This window comes from Homo sapiens, chromosome 15, assembly GCF_000001405.40.
Source record: "Homo sapiens chromosome 15, GRCh38.p14 Primary Assembly".
Classification (NCBI taxonomy): domain Eukaryota; kingdom Metazoa; phylum Chordata; class Mammalia; order Primates; family Hominidae; genus Homo; species Homo sapiens.
The window spans coordinates 42,277,944-42,298,293 of NC_000015.10; the positions used below are offsets into that span (position 1 = coordinate 42,277,944).

Here is a 20,350-nt window from a genome sequence, read left to right on the forward strand (position 1 = left end):
TTACGTGATCTTGAAACTGAAATAATCAAAAATTGTATTATACAGTATAGCTTTCTAACATATTCCCTCTCTGTTTAATAGGAAGAAAAGCGTATTATGTTAATTCTGAACAGGTATCTAGAGGGAAGTCTACAGTGAATGCCTGGTAACCTTGTTAAACCACTAGATTATATTTAATATCCACTAGAAATTATTTAGTTACTATTAAAGTCCATTTTATGGAAAGAGGGAGGGAAATTAACAAGTTCACAAATGTCATCTATGAAAATTGCCCCACCATCTCAAGAAAGACAAGATGTCATCCTTTGAGCAACGTTATAATAATCAATTGTATTAGTATTCTTACTAATACTCATCTTATTAGCATTCTAATAATAAAGTTCCTGATTAGCACTTTATTATAGTACTAATACTGTTTGTGCCCTGAAATTCACTGAATATCATAGTGAATTTTAATGACTTCCACATGATAATATAGTCTTTTGGATACTGACAATCACAAATAATTATCAAGCATCTGCATACTCCGTATCTATAGGCGTCAGAAACAGTGGCTTTCCAAGAAGTCCACCTATCAGGCATTATTGGATTCAGTCACAACAGATGAAGACAGCACCAGGTTCCAAATCATCAATGAAGCAAGTAAGGTGAGATGGAAGTATTTTCTACAGAGAATAATTTGTTTCTGTATTTATTGGGCCTGAATGAAGTAAATTAAAGCTATGTATGCTTCAAAAATAAACCTCGTTAGAAAAGGAATATCAGCCTTTTAGTGATTAGTGGCTCACGCCTGTAATCCCAGCACTCTGGGAGGCAGAAGTGGGCAGATTGCTCGAGCCCAGGAGTTCGAGACCAGCCTGGGTAACATGGCGAAAACCCATCTCTACAAAAAGTACAAAAAATTATCCAGGCACAGTGGTGTATGCCTGTAGTCCCAGCTACTCAGGAGGCTGAGGTGGGAGGATCTCTTGAGCCCGGGAGGTCGAGGCTGCAGTGAGCCATGATAGTGCCACTGCACTTCAGCCTGGGTGACACAGCAAGATCCTCCCTCAAAAAAGAACAAAGAAAGAAAGAAAATGAATGTCATCTTTTCGTATCTATACTAATAATATTGTAATAGGTATATGAATATAAGTATATAGATTGCCTGTGTATCAGATGTTTTCCTAAATGTCTTACAAATATTATTTCCTTTTGTTTAGTCTTCGTAACACATCTAAGAGGTACATTATATTATCCCAATTTTCAGATAAGGAAAATGAAGTCTGGAAAATCACTTGCCCAAAGTCTCACATTTAGTAACCAAAATTTTCTCCTGCATCTGTCAGACGCTGTCACCCACGTGCTTTCTAACACTGTTACACAATGCCCATTTGCATGTTTAGCCTGAGCAAGGTACAAATTCAGGGTATGTCCAAATCTCAAAATGCAGGTGGGCCAGGGGGAACAGGGAACAGGCAAAAGGACTATGCAGTTGAAAACCCAAGTAACAAGTGTTCCCTCACCTGAGCTGCTTCACTAGAGGTTACCATAGTTTTTGCCTAGTGAGAGGGTTAGGGAAGTATATCTTAAGTGCTTTATCTCACCCGTGAAGTTGTCATGTTACTTTAGATGGGCCAGTCATAGAGGAAGCACTATGGGCTGTGCTAGGAAGTGTGACTGTGCACTACTGCCTGATGCCTTCAACCTGACCTTCACTTTCAGATCCTGCCTGCATTCTAAAGGCATCCTAAGTTTCTAAGGCCTCTGAGACCAATCTGACTTAACTGGTAATTCATATCACTGAAAGACAGTTAAGGCCATTAGGTCTGGGTCCCATAACTGCTTGGATAATAACGGCACCAACTCACTAACAAGTCCCAGTTCTGGGAAGCTGACGTTCGTGGCAAAGCTGTGAACTATGTGACTACTATAGTTCCTGCCCTGCAGCGCTGTACTGATATTCGTGGGTTCTCCATAATAATTGTAAGGCCTTTAATTTAGAAATGGGTCCAAACTTTATTCCCAGACAGAAAGAACAATTGTACAGTAAGGAAAACTACCTTCATTATGGAGTTTTAGAGATTTTAGTCATATGGAATCTTCATCCATAACTTTCTTGCCCAAATTCAAAATAATGAGCTAGAATCATATCAACAGTTCTGTGTTCTTTATCCCCATCCCCTGTCCTCAACTTCTACAACATAGTTATTGTGGCGGTACATTTAGCTCATCTCTCTTAGCTGCACAGATGGGGCAGTTAGCCTTTCTCCAAAATCTAGTACTGATTCTTACACCACCCATTTTTCTGGAGTAATTTTCCTCCTTGCCTAGTGTGTTTGATACATTTGAGTTCTCAGCTCATGGTACCCCCAAAGCCATAGGTCCTCTAATGCTGATTCAGGTCTCCCTTTATATTCTTATTTATATATGTTTTTTATATATCCTTTTGTAGCCTAGTTTGGTAACTGTTCATGGAGAAAAAAATGGGACAGCACTAATTTCCTTCCTGGAGAGCCAACCACTGTTTGCATGTGGTCTAATAGCCTGACACCCGGCCAGACCCTTCTATTCAGGGTCAGCAGAAGCAGTTGGCTCCAGGAAATGCATCAAGTCCATCAGAGGCCTTCCAGGAGTCTTTAGGCCTTGACCAGATGTCAAGAACCTTTCTGTCAAGTTTTTCTTCTCATTGTCTCATTTTCTTTCCTGTTTCCATTGTGTCTAACCTGAGAGAGTTGTAGTTGTCCATAGTCAGAGCAAGAATCCCTATCCATTCTTGAGGATGCTTAGTATATTGAGCACCTGGTCATGAAGACGTGCTGAGGTAAAGTAAATGAGGCAAAATCACCCGGAATATCAGTGGTGAGCCGAAATGAAAATTCTCAACACAGCGTGATACCAGTTTGCGGTGGACACCCACATATGCCATTTCACGTTACTGTAGATCAGTTTCTCTTTTTGGATCCTGAAAAAGTGAGGAACAATGCTCTTCAGGTCAGGTGCCAGGACCAGAGCCCAACAACTCTGGATGCCTTCAAAGGCAAAGAAACCACAGTCCAGGAGGAGACACAGGATCTCAGCACAAGACAGCACCTGGCTCAAAAGGAAGCTGAGGAGCCTGATAAACAAGGACAAATTACCTGGGACATCAGCAACGTAGCTCCCAAGACTGAGAACTTTGAGGACCTCTTGGAACAAACTCCATGCTCAGGTATTAGAAATATCAGAACCACATAGGGAATCTGCATGCCCTGATCTCAGGCAAATGTATGCAAATACATATTTCGGGAGATCACCCTGAAATTCTGCACTGAACTCCATTTTAATGTCCTCCTTGTCATGTGGTGTTGAGATGACTAGTAGGTACATAAGGTTTCATGCCCTCTGTCAGTCTGTTAGAGACAACAGAGGTGATGGTGATCACTAATGTTGCCTGCATCTTATATGCAGCTCATTGCATAGTGAAAGAGCCTCTATTAGGCCAGGCGTGGTGGCTCACACCTATAATCCCAGCACTTTGGGAGGCCAAAGCAGGCAGATCGCTTGAGGCCAGGAGTTTGAGACCAGCTATGGCCAACATGGCAAAACCCCATCTCTACTAAAAATACAAAAATTAGCCAGGCAGGGTGATGCATGCCTGTAATCCCAGCTACTCCAAAGGCTGAGACATGAGAATCACTTGACCCTGGGAGGCAGAGGTTGCAGTGAGCCAAGATTGTGCCACTACACTGCTGCCTGGGCAACACAGACACTGTCCAAAAAAAATTGACCTAAAACATGACAAAGACAGCATGGAAAAAGAAAATTACAGATTAACTTACTTATGAACATAAATTAAAAAATTGTGAAGGCTGTACTAATAAAGTGAATCCTTCAGGATAGTAGAAAATAATTATTGTGACTGAGAGGTTATACATATACATTGATTAAATTGCCAAGCTGCAAAAGTCTTGAGAAACGGTCTCTTTTAAATTCCTGTTTAGGCCAGGTGCAGTGGCTCATGCCTATAATCCCAGCACTTTGGGAGGCCCAGGCAGATGGATCTCCTGAGGTCAGGGGTTTGAGACCAGACTGATCAACATGGTGAAACCCCATCTCTACTAAAAATACAAAAATAAGGCCGAGTGCGGTGGCTCACACCTATAATCCCAGCACTTTGGTAGGCCGAGGCGGGCAGATCACGAGGTCAGGAGTTCAAGACCAGCCTGACCAACATGGTAAAACCCGTCTCTACTAAAAATAACAAAAATTAGCCAGGCATGGTGGCATGTGCCTGTAGTCCCAGCTACTCAGGAGGCTGAGGCAGGAGAATTGCTTGAACCTGGGAGTCAGAGGTTGCAGTGAGCCAAGATTGTGCCGCTGCACCCTCAGCCTGGGCAACACAGTGAGACTCTGTCTCAAAAAAAAAAATTTTTAATAACAAAGAACTTCTATTAAAAATGGTTTCTGGGATAAGATGGGTGTTTCAAGGAGATTGCACATTAAGATATGGTATGAGTGTGATCTGAAGTTTTAAAATAAGCTGCATACATCCACTTATTCAGAATGATAGCTTTTTATTTCAGGTCAAGAGGGACAGCCCAGAGTCTAAGAGGATCATATTCAGCTCACAGCTGCAGTTCTCAAATTACACTGATCAGGCAGATTCTGACAAATCCAACACTCTTGGTGCCTGCCTGCCCCTACACCTTTAAAACCCTTAAAGCAGTAACTTTGGAGTTGTCAAGATTTGTTAATTTTTGAATTTCTCCCTCTCAATTCCCTTCCCCAATCTGCTCCTTAATAAACAACCAGGAAGCAGAACCAAGCTTCATTCAACATTGGGTTAGGCTGCCATAACCAAATATCACAGGCTAGGCAGCTTACACAACAGATGTTTATTTCTCGCAGTTCTGAAGGCTGTAAATTCCAAGATCAAGGTGCTAGCAGCTTCACTGTCTGGTGAGGGCTCTCTTCTTGGTTTGTAGATGGCTGCCTTCTTCTTGTGCCCTCGCATAGTGGAGAGAGAGTGTGTACACAAGCTCTCCCGTCTTTTCTTATAAGGGCACTAATCCATTCCTGAGGACTTCCTCAACCTCGTTACCTCATCTAAACCTAATTACCTCCCAAGGGCTTCATCTCTGAATACCATCATATTGTGGGTTAGGGCTTTAATAGGAAACTTTGGGAAGACACCATTCAGTCCATAGCAAACATGATGTTCCAGGACATAGATCTGTTCCAAAACAAGCTAGAATGTTGACCTGTGTGTTGTTGCAAGGTCGGAACGTCCAGGCTTTGGAGAAAAGCTGGTTGCGTGTTCAGATGCATAAGTTTTCTCACATAGGGTCCTAATATAGTGTTGTGCTTATTCCTGATGACAGAATAATCAGGTAGATATTTAGTAAAGAAGTTTCCAGAAAATAGAAAGTGATCAGGAAAGTGTTGACTGCTTTTGTAGAACTCAGTTGTTGTTGTTGTTTTCCTACTACTATCAGTTTTCTATCGTCAGTGAAAATTTGGTCTGGATTGAGAAAGAGAGATCTAGTCTTGTGATCTAGGCAAAGGAAAATGTATGCTGTCTTGTGAGTCTAGCTTAAATAGCATTGCTAGCAAGGATGTCTGGAGCAATCTACTTTATATTGCTAATTATGATGCTTTCTCATGATATAGGTGACCATTTGGCAACACGTTTATTTTCTTTTGCAGCCTGTTTGCAAGGTTTCACCAGAGACAACACTTCCAGCAGCTTCTCCGAGGATGCAGGAATATCTCTGAGCACCTCTGTGAAGTTACCCCTTGCCTCTTCATCTAAGCCTAATGAAAATGAAGCTTTGCCCAACCAGCCACCTTCTCAGCAGATAAGGCACAACTACCGCTTATTAGCCAGTACTGTGTCTGCAGAAATGGCCAGGAACAGGCAGCTAATTTGGGAACTGGCCAGACAATCAGAAGCACACCTGGACAGGCCAGTTGTCCTTGGGGAACAGGCCAGTGCCCAGCGTGAGGTTGCCAGTATTCTTTGTAGAAAATCAGTGCTTGCAATAAACCAACTGGCTGCAACTGTAGAAGGGACAATTAGTGTCCTACAGCAATTTAATGAACTATTAGACCATCCTCTGGATCCCGGGAGGTCTTGATCACAGCTGGTAGAGGTGGCCACTCACTGTTCTATGTCTTTTAGGTTAACAGTTCTTTACATAACAGTGAAGAGTCCTGGTGCCTCAGGAAAAGCAAGATCAACCTACCAAGGAAGAGTTGATGGAGTCATAATTTTCCTACTTAACACCCACTGCAAATTTAAATATGTGTTCTAGGGCTGTTTGTTAATTCTATTATGGTCTTTACTAATTGTGATTCCCAGTTCTGGGTGAATAAAAAGTTTTTGTTTTAATGTAATTGTGATCAACACTATGCTTGAAGACATAGACAAAGCTATTTCTACCACCATGATGTTTACAAAATATCTGGTATTTTCGCCTATATGGCCATTAAAAAAACTAGATTTGTGGATAACAAACCACCAAGTTTTAATTGTTTTTATTTAATAAGGGAGAAATAAGATAGAAAAAGAGAATTAATACTCTTTTTCCCAGACTGAGAGGCGGGCTTCTAAGTAAAGGTATGTGAAAAACTGAGTAGAGGCTTGTAGTACTAAAATGAACCTCCAAAATTTATTCTTTTCTCTGAGGATTTATCTCAGCTTCTCTGTGTAATTGGATATTAACACATCTTAAATTTTTTAAAGAGATGGGGTCTCACTGTGTTGCTCAGGCTGGAGTGCAGTGGTTACTCACAGGTGCAGTCATGGCACACTGTAACCTCAAACTACTAGGCTCAAGCAATCCTCTTGCCTCAGCCCCACTGAGTAGCTGGGGCTATATGCATGTACCACCCACTGGCATGTCTTAAATACTTCTAAGGGAGCAAAACACATGCTCTCTCACCTCATTTTAACTATCCATTTAAAATTATTAGATGTATGTTCATTTTACATAAATTGACCTGGCTACAATTGAGTGTAACTACTTATATTATCTAAGGATTAATACTAGATTCTCAATTTAAGCAGTCCAGCATCTCTAACTTCTTAATGTATTTTTTCATTGTCATTTCCAATCATCACTAACAGGAGGAAGAGATTTGATAGTTTATTTGTATATTATTTTATTTATAAATATCCAGCAGGTCCTAGCAAATAGGAAAGGAATATCTACAAATGTTTACTGTTTTAGGTAGAAGAATATAACAGTCATGTCCAAACTTTTTGAAAGAGCAAGGATGTGGTGGAAGGATTGGGAAAGAACTGGCAGTTAAGCCTCAGGGAAGTGGCATTTAAACTGTCATCCACAGAGCCCTAAGGTTTCGACAGAGGTGACTTAGGACTCAGTACAGGGAAGGCAGGGGACTCTAAGGTGGGACACTGAGCCATTCCCCACTGTCTTTAACCCAAGTGGCTTTACTTATTGGACTTCTGGGAGTCTGCTGATATTTAAAAGAAAGAAAGAAAGAAAGAAAAAACACATGAGCCCAGATCATAGGAGGAAATGCATACTAAGGTCTAAGGAAAGTAGAGCCTGGACCAAGAAAGCTATGTTGGTGATAATAAGAGATAAGGCACAGTGGCTCATACTTGTAATCCCAGCACTCTGGGAGGCTGAGGCAGGAGGATCACTGGAGGTCAGGAGTTTGAGACCAGCCTGGTCAACATGGTGAAACCCCATCTCTATTAAAAATACAAAAATTAGCCTGGTGTGATGGCACGCACCTGTAATTCCAGCTACTCAGGAGGCTGAGGCACAAGAATCTCTTGAACCTAGGAGGCGGAGGTTGCAGTGAGCCAAGATTGCGCCACTGCACTCCAGCCTGGGTGACCAAGCAAGACTCCATCTCAAAATAAATAAATTTAAAGAAAGAATGACTGTAAATATTGCTAAATTTCAGAGTGATTTTTGCTAAAATTAGATTGCTAAATTAAAATGAGGATTAACTCTGATTTATACATGAAGTCATTATAGTGAAAACAGGGTTATTGCTCTCTTTTCCCCCCTGGGCTGCAGCCTCAGGAACAGAACATACAGATCAGTCTTTGGTTTAAACAAAAATTAGTTTTTTTTTTTTTGTAGAGAAAGCTGTTTTACTAAAAATGGGACAATCTCTGAGTGAATAACTAAATGTAAATTGTTAATCATATATAGGCAGACCACCTATATGCCCCCTGCTTAGGAAGTTCTTGCCCATTTTTGCCTACTCAAAGTCTTACTAATTCCTGAAGGCCCTGCTTAAATCTCTATTCCTCTAGAGAAATGTCCAGAACTTCTAACCCTACAGTCATCATTAATAACCCTTCTTAATCTCTTGCCTTTCTGTTTTAAAACTTATCACAGAATGCTCTGTGTTAGCTTTGCATCTCTTTTATCTCCTCCAATTTCAGCCTCCCCAAAAGTTCAATCATTGCAATAATAGATGCCAAATAAATGTTAATTGAATGGAATTTGAGAGAGCAATGGAAACACATGTTTAAATAGTGAGAAAATACATAATCTAACAGAATTTGAACTTTGTACTTGGACATATTTCCAAATGTTAAAATTTTGATTGTACGCTAAAAGTAGTTTAAATACATAAAAGAACATTAAACATGCAAGCAGTAATTACAGTATGATCACTATTGCATCATAACCCTGCCTTAGAATATCTAGAAAAGGATCCACAGCCATAGCACTGTTTACTTGTTCACTGTTCATTATCATGTTACAGTTTAACTGCCCTGATTGCTTCCCTGTTTTCGCAAGAGGCAAAGTTCCAGTAACATCATGTTTTTGGTGCTGGCTTGGTATTCTTCATATTTCTTATCTTTTACTTGCACCACATTGTACCCATTCTAAGCTATGTCACACAACTTACCGAGTTTAGCTGTCATTTAACAGACATAATAGTAACAACACAGGCACCCAGTAGTAACCAAAATTTGGCATCATACTTCGTGAGGAAATTGCAATTGACTAGTGTGGCATGGCCCACCAGTTGAAAACCATGGTCTTAAAATATTTTTCTAGGTGCTCATTTTGTAGCCTGAGTCCTGTCATTTCTGTTCTCCTAGAGCTTCTTGTTCTGTGTTTTATTTTTCAAATTCTCTATTATCTTCATGATTCTACATTGTTTCCGTGTCCCACGGTAGGCAGAATTTTACTTAGGTTCCCCAGCCTCTTGTAAAAGTTCCCCGGGTCTATTTTCCCAGCTGTGAAAAATCAATTCCAGTTTGATTTTAGTGCACCAAGCCTCCTTTCATCCACCACTAGAGAACTCCAATGATCATCATTTTATTCTGTACTGTTTTCTCTTCTGTAGCCTGCCACCCTTCATCTTTCATCCAGCTGGAATCTAGTTACTCTGCTTTTAACAGGCAAACTCTTATTCTTAATGTATCTGTAGTTTATCATAGATACAGTAGCCACATGTCCCAATCTTCCAAGGCAAGTTTCAGTTTATGCCTGTCTTTCAGTGTAATTATTAATAGAGACTTCTTTCACTCTGAAGATCCTGGTTTGACAATTTTATGTTCACCTAGCCACAGAACACATAGGAGATATTTCTTGTTGCTGCTGTAGCTATAGTCAAGCAAGTACATACATAAACTGGGGAGCTTTTTTTTTTAATTGCCATTGTTCTCCAATTTGCTTGGCCTATCATAATTGAAACAAATACTTTCCTAATTATTGTAATTGGTGCAAAATTGGCCATCACTTGGGTAACCTGTTGAAGGTAATCTCTTGTATCTGTTTCCAGGTTCCTCTCCTGGCTGAAATTTATGGTATAGAAGGAAACATTTTCAGGCTTAAAATTAATGAAGAGACTCCTCTAAAACCCAGATTTGAAGTTCCGGATGTCCTCACAAGCAAGCCAAGCACTGTAAGGTAAGCCAAGGAGCGAGGTATTTTAGAGACACGCTTGATATATTCTTTTATCATATCTTGAGTAATAAATTTTGTTATGTGCACTTCTTATTTTGGCTGCTCAAAACTACAGTCATTTAGGTTGGTGTAAAAGTAATTGTGGTTTTTGCCATTACTTTTAATGTATTCAGTTATTTGGGGATAAGTCTATCCATTTTCCTTATTATCCATTCTGTTTTTTCTTCATCCACCATTTGATTCATCAGGATTTATTTAACGGGGAGAAGCAGAACTTTGATCCCTGCTCTCCTTCTCACAAAGAAAGTGGTTTTATTAGCCAGACTATGGGAGCAAGTAGAAGGAAAGCTACTTATTACTCACTCAGATTAGCAGCAGGGCTCCGGAGATCTAATACGCTAGCCAAACTCCCATACTTACAGTAATTTATACTATTGGACGGACTCACTTAATTAAGGTTATTCTCAGAAGTCTAACATGTAATTTTACTTAGTGTCAAGGTAAATTAATAATCAGTGTCTAGGTGAAAAACAATCTTTGGGGACTAAAGCATTTTCAAGTACCTGCAAAACTTTAATCTCTTCTCATAACACTTTCCAGTGATATTTCAACTCAGTTTTGCCGGTTGGTTTCCATTATATTGTCATATTATTTCACTAAAGGAATATCAGATTATGCCAGATGCTTTCATTTTTACTATATCATTACTGTAGTTTTATGTAGATTATTTTTTCCATGAAAATCTTATAAAAGGTCAATACATTATAATGAGAAATGAATTCAGTTATGATAGAATCATCAAAAGTTTAAAATATATCTATTCACTGAGCCACACTATATGCCAATAACTTAGTAAACATAATTTTTTTTAATTTAATTTTTTCTTTTAATAGAGACAGAGTCTTGCTGTGTTACCCCAGCTGGTATCAAACTCCTGGCCTCAAATGATTCTCCCTCCTCTTCCTCCCAAAGTGTTGGGGTTATCGGCATGAGCCACCATGCCTGCCCTAAATAAGAACTTAAAAGAGACTGTTTCTCAAGGCTTTTGCAGTTTGACAATTGAATCAATGCATACATATAACCTCCTGGCCACAGTATGTTATTTTCTACTATCCTGAAGGATAGTACAGCCTTCACAATTTTTACACTTGTGTTCGTAAGTAAGTTAATCTGTAATTTTCTCTTTCCGTGCTGTCTTTGCCATGTTTTAGGGTCCAGGTGATAATTCACTTGGTATGGTAAATATGGTATTAATTCTGCTTCTGTACTGAGTTCTTTCTAGAGGGCCTTTGGCTACTGTAGTAACTGGAAAGCTAAAAACTACGTTTCTTCATTTCCCAGACTCCCTTGTAGCTACAGGTTCTGATATAATTCAGTTTCCACCAATCAGATGCACTTAAAAAAACCTTGATTTCAGAACTGAGTTCCCCATTTTGCTTATATGGATTTGGCACCTGTAGAGTGGCTCTAAGGCCATTAGTTAAGGCCATGATTTACTCATCTCTGAATCATAGCTAAGGTGGCATGATCCTAGAGCCCAGCAGTTGTCATAGTGACTTCTGATAACTCAACTTCCTGATTCTAGCTAAGATAGAAGGTCAGTTGGCCATACAGTTACACAGTATTGTTCTAGGGGGTCATTCCTGGACATGCAGCCTGGAACCTACTACCTCAACCCTTCCCGTGATGTTGTAAGCAACAAATTATCCATATGAAGTCATTTATTTTCTGCTTAAAATAGCCAGAGTTGTTTTTGTTTTCTACAATTGAGCCTTGGTTGATAAAGTAGTTGGTATTATAAATGAATATAAGCAACAGCCTCTCAAGGATGGGAGTATGAGATTGGCTGGCTGACCTAGCTGGATTTGGAGGCAGTGAGGATGTATTTACCTATAGAGAATGGGATACTACTGTTACAGGCTGAATTGTGTTATCCCAAAATTCAGGTGTTGAGCCCTAACCTCTAGTACCTCAGAATGTGACTATATTTTGAGATAGGGTCTTTAAAGCAGTAAATAAGTTAAAATGGGATGATTAGGGTAGGCTCTAATCCATTATACCTGGGTGCCCTTGTAAGAAGAGGAGATTAGGACACAGATGCAGGCACAGAGGGACAACCACGTGAAGACATAGTGATAAGGCAGCCATCTGCAAGCCCAGGAAATAGGCCTCACAAGAAACTCAACTTTCTGACACCTTGATCTTTGACTTCTAGCCTCAAAAATTATGAGAAAATAAATTTCTGTTGTTCAAGCTACCCAGTTTCTGATATTTTCTTATGGCAGCCCTGCCAAACTAATAGAACTAATAATAGACCACAAAATTCTGTGGCAATGTTACTTAAATGACCACTGGTGGTCAACTAAAATAAAGTGGCCCATTGAAAGCAGACCAAGAGGTAGGGCCATACTGCATTCTGATTATCATGCAGAATTCAGAGCTCTGAGGTGGCTTGGCTGCTACAACTTCACTGAAGAGTTTAAAGAAAGAAAACAATAGTCTCAGGGCTTTAAATTCTTAGCTCAAGGTATTGTCAGAAGATTGTTAATTTTCTGTGACAATCCTAAAAGTCCTCATATCTTCTGTAGCTGCAGGTACATATAGCTGAAAATCAGATGCAGAGTTTGATATTGCAGGTCACTGAATTAGTCCATAAGTTAATTTCAGGCATTAACTGGGAAAACGTAGGACTCCTCAAAATTGAATAGCAGGCTGAGTGCAGTGGTTCACACCTGTAATCCCAATACTTTGGGAGGCCAAGGCAGGAGGATTGCTTGAGGTTAAGGGTTGTAGACCAGACTGGACAACAAAGTAAGACTGCATCTCTATAAAAAATTAAAAAACTAACCGGGCATGGTAGCACACACCTGTTGTCCTAGCTACTCAGGAGGCTGTGGTGAAAGGATCACTTGACCCCAGTGGTTTAAGGCTGCAGTGAACTATGATCGCACCACTGCACTCCAGCCTGGGTGATGGAGCAAGACCCTGTCTCTAAAAAAATAAACAATTTTTTTTAAAAATTGAATAACAATATTTGGGAAGAGTTGGGTAATTCTAAATAGTCAAACCTCAAAATTTCACTGGCCCTCCCATTTCAGCAGAAGCAACCCCTCCTATAAAGGCAGGTGAAGCTGATCCTGCCTTGCTTGGATACCCTGTATTGACCTCACCTAAAATATACATGCACGGGGATTCCAATTCTCCTGTGCCCGACCCCTACCACCCTTCACTGCCTCCAGACCCATCATCAGAGTCAGATCCCAACATGCCCAGAGAGCCAATTACAGTCAAACCCGGGGGAGAAGGCTTGCATGCCTGAAAAATTATAAGACTATATAATGCAAAAAAAACCTGGGAAATATGAATGGAAATGGTTTCTGAGGAATTCCTAGACCAGAAAGAAGGAACTTAATTGTAGATCAGGCTAAATTTATTGACTCAGGTACACATACCAGATAATGTAGATTTGATATGCTAGCTTGGGCAACTGAGAATGGCTCTAATTGATGGCATAGTTGGTTAATTATAATCTGAACTCAGCTATGGATTCTTCTGAATGAAGCTGAGATATCAGGAATTCCTTGGCATGGTGTAGAGGAAATGATCCACAGACTTAGAGAGATAAAGATGTTGAAGTGGATTTGTTTCATGCAACCAGCTCATCTAGCCCCTCTGGATTCTGTTCCCCACGAGAATCCAGAACATACCCCCTTCACTGAGAAACTGATGAGGGAGCACTTGGAAAGCATTGTAGTGAACATCTTCCTTTTGTGGGCTGGAGATAATGGTGGGAAATGATGCCGTTAAAATGGTCTCCCTGATTTCAGTGGAGATAATGAGACTCCAGGTAGCAGAGGCAGAGTAGAAACATTTAATTGTCAGAGACAAGGTGAACATAATTCCATTATGTGTGGTAGGACCCATGTAGTACTCAAAATGGTTTAACGCTTGGGGCAGTAAGCAATTTATGGTGGGGTGCATTAGACTGACATATATGAACTACAGTCCTACTTAATGGAATCATCAAAAGAACTCTGTCTGGGTTCAATGGATAGTGAGAGACAGCCTCTCAGCTGTCTCCAGAGTTAATTTCCAGATCCTAAGCATCTTGCTTGAAGAGAAGGCATAGAATCCATGGAGGACTGAAAAGACATCATAAGAACATAAACTGTCTCTTTTTACCTTCCTGAAAGAGTCCTGTGAACATTTACTGGGGACACTGTGCACTGGAGAAAGGGAAATATCTAGCTTTGAGGGATTTTAAGTGCTGTGTCTGAGCTTACATAATTCTTGTGGATCTAAAACATCCTAACAATGTACCTGTGAAATTGGAGGCTGGTGGGAATCAGGCAATAAATAGGTAAATAAAAATTTGACCTGGTTCCATCTCACTGTGGAGAGATGGACCCAATCTGTGTTATTTCCTCAGTTTCTGAGTATGTGTTTGGAATGAGAAAGAAAAACAATAGTTAGATTTTACACACCAAAATCTAGAAAGTTACTAGACCTTCCAGACCAAGGTGATGATGATGACAACGATGATAGCTAACATTTACTGTGTGTTTTTTTTTTTAATGTGTCTGGCACTGTGTCAAGAGCTTTACACATGTGATCTCATTTAATTCTCTCCAAAAACTTTGTTGTTGCTTTTGTTATTTTCACTTTACAGATAAGGAAACCAAGACCTAGAAAAGTTGGATAACTTTGTTATCCGAAGTTATAACGTATATGATAGAGTTATGCTCAATTTAAGCTCTTTGGCATCAAAGCCAATGCTCTCATTAACTTTTCTCTGTTGCCTTATCTATGGCTATGTCACATGAATATTGATTTACTAATTAATTACTTGGAAGTACAAATCACATAGGGCCATGTAAACCTATAGCAGCTTGTTTCTCTCTTCCTGTTTTGTTTTCTAGGCTGATTTCATGCTCTGGGGACACAGGCAGTCTGATATTGGCAGATGGAAAAGGAGACCTGAAGTGCCATATCACAGCAAACCCATTCAAGGTAGACTTGGTGTCTGAAGAAGAGGTTGTGATTAGCATAAATTCCCTGGGCCAATTATACTTTGAGCATCTACAGATTCTTCACAAACAAAGGTATTCTTATGCATTACTTGACACATAAAGACCTTAACATAACCTGGTTAATGAATATCAGTTGCCTAAATAGATAACATAGCACCATAGAAAATTGGTTTGCCTTATTTGCTCTAGTATTGTTCTGAGAAATTTTACCTTTTCACCTGTGAAGGTGAATACAAGCTTTATGACAAAAATAATTCCCAAACTTTTGTAAATGTTACACTCTTAACATGTCCTGTGTGTAACTGATGGCATTCTCTACCCTGCACACCCTTCTATAAAAGCACTCTGTTGACCTGACAAATGTTAATGTGAACTAGCATACCTTCGTAATTTCACTTCACTCCCTTGCAATAACACAAATTACCCTAGACTTGAATAGTTGTCCAGGAATTTTCTGGGACCATCTGCTTGATCAAAGCTGTTTATGTGGGGTGCTCACATGAATTAGGAGGTGGTGGTAAGGAGGAGATTCTTATTCCATTCTTACGAACACTGTTTTTAAATCTTTTAGTCTATAGTTCTTTCTATTTTTATCATGATAATAAACGTATTATATGATCTGCAGAAAGCATTCAACATTCATTATTCCAACATAGTCATTTTTCTGAGTTTCAACTCATTTCTGTTTTAAAATTTTGATACTAAAAATATCTCATTTTCTCATCTCAGAACTAATACTTGTTCATCATAGGCAGATTAGAAAATATTGAAAAGAAGAAAATTTAAAATCCCCATAATCTCTCCACCTACTCTCTTAGTGCCTTATGAATAGTCAAGTACTTGTTTAACTGAAAAATACTAATAATAGCAGAACAAATATCTGTGTACCCACTACTCATGTTCTTTATATGTAAAGCCTTTTTTCTAGCCAGGCACAGTGGCTCACACCTGTAATCATAACACTTTTGCCGAGGTGGCAAATCAGTTGAGCCCAGGAATTTGAAGCCAGCCTGGGCAACATGGTGAAACCCTGTCCTACAAAAAAATACAAAAAAATTAGCTGAGTTTAATAGCACATGCCTGTAGTCCCAGTTACTTGGGAGGCTGAGGTAGGAGGATCACTTGAGCCCAGGAGGTCAAGACTGCAGTGAGCTGCGACTGTGGCACTGCACTCCAGCCTGGGCAACAGAGCGAGATTCTGTCTCAAAACAAACAAACAAAAAACGCTTTTTTTTCTTTTGTAAACCCCGATGATTTTGTTCTGTTTTCTTTTAAACATTGTTTTCTTTCCTATCTAAGTTGATCCTTTTACTTACTTATGTAGAAGAGGCACATGGTACAAAGGAGTATATATTAATACACATTTCTATGTAATAATAGTAAAGAATCTCCTTCCCCCTGTGTCCTCTAGCTGCCCACTTTCCATCGTTGAAAGTAATGTGTTCTGGTCGGGTGTGGTGGCTCATGCCTGTAACCCCAGCACTTTGGGAGGCCGAGGCAGGTGGATCACCTGAGGTCAGGAGTTCGAGACCAGCCTGGCCAACATGGTGAAACCCTGTCTCTAGTAAAAATACAAAAATTTAGCCAGGTATAGTGGCACATGCCTGTAGTCCCAGCTACTCAAGAGGCTGAGGCAGAAGAATCTCTTGAACCCAGGAGGTGGAGGTTGCAGTGAGCTGAGATCATACCATTGCACTCCAGCCTGGGCAGCAGAGCAAGACTCTGTCTCAAAAAAAAAAAAAAAAAAAGTAATGTGTTTCCAGTTTTTTGTGTATCCTTTCAGAAACAATTTATGTATACACATTTTATATATATTCTTTGACTTTTCCTTTCCTGACACAAATGGCGCCACCTTTACACATTATTCTACACCTTGCTTTTTTCTGTTAACAATGTGATAATTCTTAATTTCTTTAAAGCAGCTACATAATTTCTGTTGTATGGCTTTACCATGATTCACTGAGTAAATTCTCTATTGAGGGATTTAAAGTTGTTTCTAATCTTGTTTTACAACTAGTTAGTTTACTAATAACCTTGAATATGTGTCATTGTGCATATATACAAGTATATTTATAGTATAGAGTCATAAAAGGATAGTTGTTGATCAGATGGTTTGTGCATTTGTAGTTTTTTTTTTTTTTTTTGAGATGGAGTCTCGCTCTGTCACCCAGGCTGGAGTGCAGTGGCATGATCTTGGCTCACTGCAAGCTCTGCCTCCTGGGTTCATGCCATTCTCCCACCTTAGCCTCCCGAGTAGCTGGGACTACAGCGCCCACCACCATGCCCGGCTAATTTTGTTTTTGTATTTTTAGTAGAGATGGGATTTCACTGTGTTAGTCAGGATGATCTCGATCTCCTGAACTCGTGATCCGCCCGCCTCAGCCTCCCAAAGTGCTGCGATTGCAGGCATGAGCGACCACGCCCCGCCTGTAGTTTTCATAGGTATTGCCAAATTGCCTTCCATAGAGGTTGTACTGGTAGCTATAGTTCCATGATTTACATTTATATTTATAATTATATTTGTGTTAGGAAAATCAGATGATCTAACTGGAAAAAATTTTAAGTTAGATTTTAACCTCATAACATTAACAAAAATCAATTGCAGATGAATAAAAATTAAACATAAAAAGACATAAAAATAGAAGAAAATATAAAACAATATTTCTGTAATTGTGAGAGTGTGACATAAACTGAAGAGCCATAAGGAAAAGATTGATGGATTTGATTACTTACACATTTTAAGCTTTGATTCTACTCAGAAAGCAACACAAGAAGAAAAAAAGCTTTATTATAGACACACACACACACACACACACACACACACACACACACACACACACACAGCGTGAACAAAATTAAAAGTCAAGGACTTCCAGTTTCCCGTCTGGCATGTAAGGAGCTTAGAAGTCACTACTCCATCCTAACAATGACTAAAAAGCTCAACAAATCAGTTTTTGCCTTATATAGTTTGATGCTCTGTTAGACTCATACACGCATTAAAGATTGTTACGTTGAGCTGGGCACAATGGCTCATGGCTATAATACTAGCACTTTGGGAGGCTGAGGCAGGCAGATCATCTGAGGTCAGGAGTTTGAGACCAGCCTGGCCAACATGCTGAAACCCTGTCTCTACTAAAAATACAAAAAAATTAGCTAGGCATGGTGGCATGTGCCTGTCGTTCCATCTACTTGGGAGGTTGAGGTGGGAGAATCACTTGAACCTGGGAGGTGGAGGTTTCAGTGAGCCGAGATCATACCATTGCTCCAGGCGGGGCGACAAGAGCAAAACTCTGTCTCAAAAAAAAAAAAAAAAAAGATTGTTATGTCTGCTTAGAGTATTGATCCCTTTATCATTGTGTAATATCCCTTTTTATCCCCCCAAATTTTCCTTGCTTTGAAATCTCTTCTGTCTGAAATTAATATATCTACTCTTACTCTCTTTTGATTGGTGTTAGCATAGTATATCTTACCTTCAGAGGTAACCAGTTTACTAAATTTTGTGTTAATCACTTCCTTGGGTTTGATTTGGTTTGGTTTAGTTTAGTTTTGTATTGTTTTAAGACGGAATTTCACTCTTGTTGCCCAGGCTGGAGTGCAGTGGTGCGATCTCAGCTCACTGCAACCTCCGCCTCCCAATTGCAGGTTCAAGCAATTCTCCTGCCTCAGCCTCCCAAGTAGCTGTGATTACAGGTGCCCACCACCACGTCCAGCTAATTTTTGTATTTTTAGTAGAGACAGGGTTTCACCATGTTGGCCAGGCTGGTCTCGAGCTCCTGACCTCAGGTAATCTACCCGCATTGGCCTCCCAAAGTGCCCATATTACAGGTGTGAGCTGCCGCACCCAGACTCCTTGGGGTTTTTAATTGGATTCCCACATATGTATGAATTCCCAAACAACATATTATTTGGATTCGTCTTTTCTAAAAAAACTTTTATGTAATAAAAGTATGCTGTATATATTCTTTTGTAATGTATTTTTCACTCAAATATTTTTTTTCTTTTTCCTTTTTTTTTTTTTTTGGAAGATATGGTCTCACTATGTTGCCCATTAAATGTATAAAAGTTAGCCTACATCATTCATGCTCTTAGAAATACAAACTGAAATGCATTTATTTTTTCTACAATTTTAGATTGGCAAAAACTGAAAGATTGATAAAGTCCAGCAATGTTAAGAATGTGGGGAACTGAGCACTGAAATACAACTATGGGTGGAAGAATAAATTGTCACAATCATTCTGAAAGACTGTACATTATAGTGCTGTGTTCTGGGAGTGAGGAGAGTTACACCGAGTGTAGGGAGCTATGTTCTACCTTGCTTACTTAGATTTTGTTGAAATATTATGAGCATGTTTAACATTTATAATAAAAAATGATAAAAGTATTTTTTAAAGAGTTAACAAAATTAAAATACTTCTACATTAAGAAATGAAGCTATTAGATTAATGTTCATCATTACTGTCCAATTTTATAAACTCATTTTTAAATTGTTTTTTATTGTTTAAAGATGAGATCTCACTATGTTACCCAGGCTGACATCGAACTCCTGGGCTCAAGTGACCCTCTAGCCTCAGCCTCCCAAGTAGCTGGGATTACAGGCAGGCACCACTGCACCTGGGTTCATTTTTATTTTTATAATGATGTTATATTTAATACATTAAAGGATATAACTGAGGTCTCAAAAGTTGGAAATGAAAAATCTTTATCATTGAACAAAATTCTGTCAGTCTTGCCATTGAGTGAAACAACTTTATTTACGTTAAAACAGAGCTGCTAAAGAAAATGAGGAGGAGACATCAGTGGACACCTCTCAGGTAATCTAGATTGATCCATTTATTGTTATCTTTTTCACCATCATCATCATGATAGGGCATATAAGGAATTCTCTTTCTTCCTTCTACAGAAGGGTGCTTGTTAAATGATCGACTGCATATAAATAGGACCACTTGTTTCTTCGGCTCACCTTGTCATCTCGTTGATTCATTCATTCATTTATTCATTCATTCATTCATTCATTCATAAAAACAGATGCTTCCTGAGTGCCTACTTTTTGCCAGGCATTATTGCTAGGCAAGGAGAATCAGCCTTGAATAAAACAAATCCCAAACATGTTCTCATGGAAATTAGAATCTATTGGGAAAGACAGACATTGGGTAAGTAATTACAAGCATGAGGAGTGTTACAAAATGGTGCTGTAGGAGAATACAAGGGACCTGGCCAAGATGAGGGTCAGGAAAGACCTTCTGAGGGAAATAATGTTAAAGCCGAAACTGATGTCTACACAAGTCAAAAAGTTGTATATACACAAGTCAAAAAGTTGGGAAAAGAATGTTCCAGGTAGAGGGAACTGCATATTCAAAGATGTGGAGGTAGGATGGAGCATATTCCATTTGAAGAAATGGAATATGTATGCAATATATATTTATTTCATCTGGAGAAAGGAAAGCAAAG

The 20,350-nt window shown here is 39.4% G+C and overlaps 1 protein-coding gene across 10 annotated transcripts in view; it reads left to right on the forward strand.

Moving 5' to 3' along the window:
• Nucleotides 1-20,350, forward strand: part of GANC (glucosidase alpha, neutral C) — an 80,466-nt gene that overhangs the window by 4,743 nt on the left and 55,373 nt on the right. For 4 of the 10 annotated variants that reach the window (NM_198141.3, NM_001393928.1, NM_001393929.1 and 1 more), the window contains 4 exons: nt 539-647; nt 9,748-9,875; nt 14,792-14,974; nt 19,668-19,713. In NM_198141.3, coding sequence (NP_937784.2) covers nt 539-647; nt 9,748-9,875; nt 14,792-14,974; nt 19,668-19,713 — 466 coding nt within the window. Of the gene's footprint in view, nt 1-81; nt 146-538; nt 648-2,973; nt 3,191-5,667; nt 6,479-9,747; nt 9,876-14,791; nt 14,975-19,667; nt 19,714-20,350 lie in introns of those variants that run through there. The other 6 variants (NM_001393931.1, NM_001393930.1, NM_001301410.2 and 3 more) reach the window with 3 other exon arrangements.